Here is a 7,496-nt window from a genome sequence, read left to right on the forward strand (position 1 = left end):
AGGTGAACATTGCAGCTTCTATTTAAAACCATTTCCTCCAAGAATGTTCTAGATCCTTTCTTTCCTACTTAAGGACATTGCTATAGCTTCATTATTTTTTCCTCTCTAGTGGATCGTCCCAGAGCCAACAAACATAAATTTATGTAAACATAGATATATTTCCTCTTATAAAAAAGCAACAAGAATGTTTTGATGACATTTAATCTTAGAACAGTTAATGAGCTATTTTTGCTTGCTGATGCAACTAATCAGTTTTTATGGTTATCTATATTCACTTTCTCCATTTATTTGTCTCCCATTTCCTTTATCCATTTCACTTCATTAAATTAAACTTTAATTTACTATATGGAACTATACATACTATTGTATGCATAATTTATAGACAATAAAATAGACATTGTAAGTTTACATTTTGATGAATTTTTACGTATGTATACACTCAAGCAACTCATAGCTCTATGAATAAATATTTCTATAAATATAGAAATATCCCTAATTTCTATTTCCAGTCATCCTTCCAAAACTCCCCAGAGGCTGCTACTGTTGGACTGGTAGCGATATCATTACAGTAACAATGGGAGGAGAACATGGAAAATATTTGCTAGAACAAAACAATGAGAATATTTAAATGTTCTGTTGGGCAGTTGCACCAGTCTGTAATCCCAGTGATGTGGGAGGCTGAGGCAGGGGAATCCCTTGATGCCAGCAGTTTGACCAGCCTGAGAAACACAGTGAGACCTCATCTTTTTAAAAAAAAGTTTTAAAATTAGCTTAGCACAGTAGTGCCTACCTGTAGTCCCAGCTACTCAGGAGGCTGAGATAGGAAGATCGATTGAGCCCAGATTTTCGATATTACAGCGAGCCATGATTGTGCCACTATACTCCAGTCTGGGTGACAGAGCAAGCCCTCACTGCAAAATAAATAACTGAAAAAATAAAAATAAAAATAAAGCCAGGTGCCATGGCTTATACCTGTAATCCCAGCACTTTGGGGGGCAGAGGTAGGTGGATCGCTTGAGCCCAAGAGTTTGAGACCAACCAGTGCAACAAGGCGAAACCCCATCTCTGCAAAGAATAACAAAATTAGCTGCATGTGATGGTACATGTCTGTAGTCCCAGCTATTCAGGAGGCTGAGGTGAAGGATCCATTGAGCCCAGGGTTTGAGGATGCAGTGAACTGTGATCGTCCCACTGCACTCCATCTTGGGAAACAGAGCAAAACTACCTAAACAATGAATAAATAAATAAATAAATAAAATCAAAATAAAATAAAAGTGTTAAGGGTTATCCATGCATGCATTGTCTAGGTACGAGTATATCGTATTCTGTTTTATCAAGGGAAGAGCCTTTTAAAATACTACAAATTGAATTTTTCTCCAATAAACTAACTATTTTAATATGCTCACTTACTTACAAATACCTTTTGCTCACGATGTTGGCCCTGACAGATAAGCCTATCTGATGTAAGTGGTATTAGGCCGCTTTGGAAGTCTTGAATCTCAAAACTGTGCATCATTTTTTTTCCTGAAAAGTAAGAGACAAAACTCATGAATTTACTCTAAGTCACTAATCGCACCGTTGGAAAAGCATGGGGTCAAAGCTCAGCAGGTCTGCTAACTCACACTTCTAACCTTTGCATGGCTCTTGTCTTGGACAGGAGAGGTCTCTCCTTTTCTGTATAAGTCCTACACTAAAATTCCTATCTCCACTTTTCAATATTTACTTTAATTCCTACTGATAACAACCTTTATTTATTTGGTGGCAATTGGTGTTTCACACACTAAGCATATATTATCTAAATATAACTAATCCAAATTTCAAACCTTTGTAAAAATGTTTTTATAACTGATTTGATAGTTTCCACATCCATATTTATATTTAATCACTACTTTATTTTCCTAGTTAAAATCTTTCTATTTTTTTCATCTATACATATGTAATGATTTTTTTAATCTACCCACCTCTCAAAGCATCTAAGTGTATGCAAGGCTGCTTGCAATCTTTACGTTTCATTGCTAAATTAATTTCAACCTCTTCTTTCAGCCAAACAATGCTGAGCTTCTTGATTTGTTTTGGTGCCTATCGATTGTCTAGTCCTGCTTCCTGTTGTCACAGGCTACTTGTATTTTAATTATGATGCTTTGTATTATTTCTAGGTCAGTTTTCATTATATTTTTGTTTTACCTTCATAATTAGTCTTTGTTTAAGAAGGTTGATGAGTACACAATTATGCCAAACTCAAAAATTGCTTTACAAATTAAAATTTAACCAGAAGAAGAGTAACTTGATTTTGTACCTTCATGTGCCAGACTAGGTTTGAAGGGCTATCCTTTGGGTCTTGGTGACTCCCTATTTCACAGACACCAGATAAAATAGGCAGCTGTCTGGTCGCATAACCTGAAACACTTCATTCACCTCTTCTGGAGAGAAGAGGACGGAAATAGAACACTACAAATATACATTTTTTATTTACTGTCTCTTAACACTTACCAGACTAGTACGTTTTCTTTCACCTTCCTTTTATACAATTCAAGTGTCTTTCACTACATAGATCTTGTCATTAAGTCGCAGACTTAAGTTTGATGCCATTTAATTTTTACCTTCCATCCACAGTATGGTTTCAACAAAAGTGGGCCATGGACTCAGCCTACCTGGGTTAATACTGCAGGTTTGTCCCAGGTATGTGTTTTATGGCAAGGTGTTTAACCTTTTCTTGCCCTTTTCTCCTCCTGTGCATATGCTATAACTGACCTGGTGTGTCCGGAATTGGTGGGTTCTTGGTCTCACTGACTTCAAGAATGAAGCCGTGGACCCTCGCGGTGAGTGCTACTGTGTCTGGAATTGGTGGGTTCTTGGTCTCACTGACTTCAAGAACGAAGCCGCGGACCCTTGCAGTGAGTGTTACAGTTCTTAAAGGCGACGTGTCCGGAGTTTGTTTCTTCTGATGTTCGGATGTTTTCGGAGTTTCTTCCTTCTGATGGGTTCGTGGTCTCGCTGGCTCAGGAGTGAAGCTGCGGACCTTTGCGGTGAGTGTTACAGCTCTTCAGGCAGGGCGTCTGGAGTTGTTCCTTCCTCCCGGTGGGTTCCTGGTCTCGCTGGCTTCAGGAGTGAAGCTGCAGACCTTCGCAGTGAGTGTTACACCTCATAAAGGCAGTGTGAACCCAAAGAGTGAGGAGCATCAAGATTTATTACAAAGAGCGAAAGAACAAAGCTTCCAGTGTGGAAGGGGACCAGAGCGGGTTGCCACTGCTGTTTCTGGCAGCCTGCTTTTATTCTCTTATCTGGCCCCACCCACATCCTGCTGATTGGTCCATTTTACAGAGAGCGGAGTGGTCCGTTTTGACAGGGTGCTGATTGGTGCGTTTACAATCCCTGAGCTAGACACAAAAGTTCTCCACGTTCTCACTAGATTAGCTAGATACAGAGTGTCCACCTAAAGGTTCTCCAAGTCCCCACCAGAGTAGCCAGATACAGAGTGTCGATTGGTGCATTCACAAACCCTGAGCTAGACATAGGGTGCTGATTGGTGTGTTTACAAACCTTGAGGTAGATACAGAGTGCCGACTGGTGTATTTACAATCCCTTAGCTAGACATAAAGGTTCTCCAAGTCCTCACCAGAGTAGCTAGATACAGAGTGTCGATTGGTGCATTCACAAACCCTGAGCTAGACAAAGGGTGCTGATTGGTGCATTTACAATCCCTTAGCTAGACATAAAGGTTCTGCAAGTCCCCACCAGACTCAGGAGCCCAGCTGGCTTCACCCAGTGGGTCCCGCACCGGGGCTGCAGGTGGAGCTGCCTGACAGTACCGCGCGGCAGTGCGCCCACACTCCTCAGGCCTTGGGTGGTCGATGGGACTGGGCGCTGTGGAGCAGGGGCCTGCGCTCGTTGGGGAGGCTCAGGCATGGCGGGCTGCAGGTCCCGAGCCCTGCCCCGCGGGGAGGCAGCTAAGGCCCGGGGAGAAGTCGAGCACAGCAGCTGCTGGCCCAGGTGCTAAGCCCCTCACTGCCCGGGCCTGCAGTGCCGGCTGGCCGCTCCGAGTGAGGGGCCTGCCGAGGCCACGCCCACCCGGAACTCGTGCTGGCCCGCAAGCGCCGCACGCAGCCCCGGTTCCCACCCGCGCCTCTACCTCCACACATCCCGGCAAGCTGAGGGAGCCGGCTCCGTCCTTGGCCAGCCCACAAAGGGGCTCCCACAGTGCAGCGGCGGGCTGAAGGGCTGCCAAAGTGGGAGCCCAGGCAGAGGAGGCGCCGAGAGCGAGCGAGGGCTGCGAGGACTGCCAGCATGCTGTCACCTGTCACGGGTAGGTTAGACATTATAAAATACATCTCCATAGGCCCTGCTTCTTAGTAAGCACTTGATAAATGTTAGGGGCTCTTAGTATTAATTTTGGGAAGGCAAAGAGTACTTTCCACAGGTTCTGTATCCCATAGTTCCACTTTCTTTCCACCATGTTCCCATCTTTATGAAAGAAGAGTATTTCTTCAGGTGCACCACTGCTTTACACTAGCGTGTGTGTGAACCTTTTACCACACTATTATTCCCCTGTTGTTGCCCGGATAGAACCTCTAAAAATTCATCATTTTCCTGATACCAGGCTAGATGGAGCCTTTCCTCCTTTCTTATTAAACACACACTCACACACACACACACACACACACACACCTACAAAAAACTCCAGGTTATACATATGAGAAAATTCTAAAATATTTGCAGAGTATTTCAGAAACTAATCAGAGAATAAAAAGGGGAACTTGAAAAAAAGAATCCTGTCAGAACTGTGAGGCTCCCTACAGTTCTTCAGATTCTTCATATAGAAAATAATTTCTGAAGATACACCTACTTCACAGAGCACAGCCCCACCCTCTAGATTCTGTCTGTCCTTATCAGAAAAGCTACTTACCCTAGGATAGAAGACAGACAGCTCCTGTCATGAGTTCAGCAGCCATATGTTCATAATAAGTTTGTGTAGTTTTATCCTTTCCCTCAGATCCCAGAGGAACTATACTATTGTCTCAATTAGTCCAAACTGCATTTTCTACTGGATCCTTTCCCTGGAGTCCAAAATCCAGATTAATGCTTGACGTCTACATATAGCAGTCATCATCACTAATTGCCAAATAGTTCTCACTGTCAACCTCCCAGATATATAGTGGGATTGCCTTTTATGGTCTCTTTGTGGTCAGATTCAGCCACATAACTCATTTTGCCCAATAACCTGTGAGCAGATATGGCATGAGACACTTCTGGGCTAGAGTATGCTATTACTGGTTCTAAACCCTTCAAAGCTCTCCATTCCTCTGGTATGGTGGTTGGCCATGTTTGCAATGAAGTCTCCTCTATCTGTCTTACTTTCTGTGTGGTGGTAATAAACAAAGCCCTCCTGCCAGTAGCCAAGGGGCATGTGACATGAGTGAGGAATAAACTCATGATTTTGCTTCAAGACATTGAGATAATGAAGTTGTGTTTTACCACCACAAGCTCATCCTCTCCCACCTGATAATTATCTGGATTTAATTTCTCCTTTGGCCTCACTTCAGATCTTAGAATTCCAAACAGCATCCACAATTGCACCCAGCATTCACAAAATATCTTTCACCTATGTTATTTTATGATGCTGTATGATAGGCAGGAAAGCAAATATATTCCCCTTTTCTCATGAGAACATGGGACATTCAAGATTTTGAAGAAATTGAACTGAAACCTGTATTTAGATTTCAGACAGTGATGATTTTCATATAGCATCTTTCACTTGAACATTTCAGAATTCCTAAAATACTGTTTTATTCTGGATTAAGATGCTTGGACCCTTGTAGTATTGCCTGAAGGACCCTGAAGAAGTCTGTGTTGTTTCAGTAAGCAATCTAAAAGCCTTACCTAATACATTAGATAGGTGAGAGTGTTTTTAGGTTAGCAGACAATAAGTAAAATAACTTTTTTCATAAAATGTTTCTGTGGAAACACTTTATTAATGATTGAGACCAAAATAATGACATTTAATATCATTTCCAGATTTATTTGCAATTAATGTTCAAGAATTTACTTAGGTTTTTGCATGCTGAAGTTCACATATTTACTACTGTTTCCTTTTAGCCCTTCAAATAAATAAAAATCCAGGATGTCTAAATGACCAATGAATTGGAAACAATATTCTTGGTGATCAGGCCTGAAATTGGATAAACAGGAAATGTTGGGTAGCTTTTGACTCAGGTCTTTCCTGATCCAATTCAATGTAACAATTCTATACTCCTCAACTTGACTGAGCAGTCACAATCTTAATAATTTTTAGCTAAACAAATTCTACATTCAAACCTTTTTAAAAGGGAGGTTGATATTATATTTTCACAAAGTGGAGATTGTGTCTCATTTTTCTATGTAAAATGTAGTGTCCAGGGTTAAAGTCAGAGGAAGGAGTCAAGCCCCAGCATCTCATGCTCCACCCCCAAGAACCTCACATATTCACTCCAAGGAAGATTAAATATGGTAGTCTTCCCACAAGTAAGCATTTTTGTGACAAAGGTAATTTATATATGATCAGACAATACTGTTGTGATTATCAGTAATATGGAAAGGAGCTTGGGAGAAGTCTCAGGTAGCTATTCAACATGATGATTCAATAAAGTAAAGTGATGCTGACTGGGTTTGTATTTTTGTAGGTCTAGATTTCAAAGCCATAGAAATCATAGAATATTGTCCCATCTATTCTTCCAGATAATGGAAGTGGCACCTTTTATACTTTCTCTGAGCATACCGCCATCTTTGTACTTTTCTTTCTCTTCAAACCATGGACAGTGGTTTAACCATGGACAGTGGTTTCCCAAACTCTATGGTCTTAAGTTTAGGACTTCCTGCATTCACTTGGGGACTATCAGAAATAATAATTTCTGCGTCTCACCCCAAACTTACTAAATCCCTGAAAAAGGACTAGAAAAAATGTATATATATAATACATATATATACATTTTTACAGAGCTCTAAAATGATTCTTATGCTGACAATCCACGGCACAATATTTAGGACCCTGAGTTGGGGCACCGCCTTTAACTTCAGATTCTTACACTTGGGAAAAATTCACTTGATCAAAAGGTGCTTACACAGGATTAAACTGTCAAGTGATGTCTTTATCAAAACAGATGGCTTAAGAGATAATGCTTACAAGGAAAAAAATTATTCTCTTTACTTCTCCTTATTTTTCACAAATTATTATACAACACACAGTTTCTGAACATTGATATTCTTCCTTTCTTTACCTGTCTATACTCTGATTTTTTTTTCCAAAAGTTTGTTTTCAGTATTCTATCTATTAGAGAAATACAATGTGTAAGTATGTTTCAGAACTGTATTATACAGAACTACATTAACATATGTGACTTCTTGATGAATATCCTATCATGTTAACAGCTATATGTGACTTTTCCTAAACTTCTTCCTATATTACTGAAATTTACAGTAATATTGTTTGGTCACATAATCTCAAACTTACACAAGTACTTTCT

Source organism: Homo sapiens, chromosome 2 (genome assembly GCF_000001405.40).
Source record: "Homo sapiens chromosome 2, GRCh38.p14 Primary Assembly".
Taxonomy (NCBI): domain Eukaryota; kingdom Metazoa; phylum Chordata; class Mammalia; order Primates; family Hominidae; genus Homo; species Homo sapiens.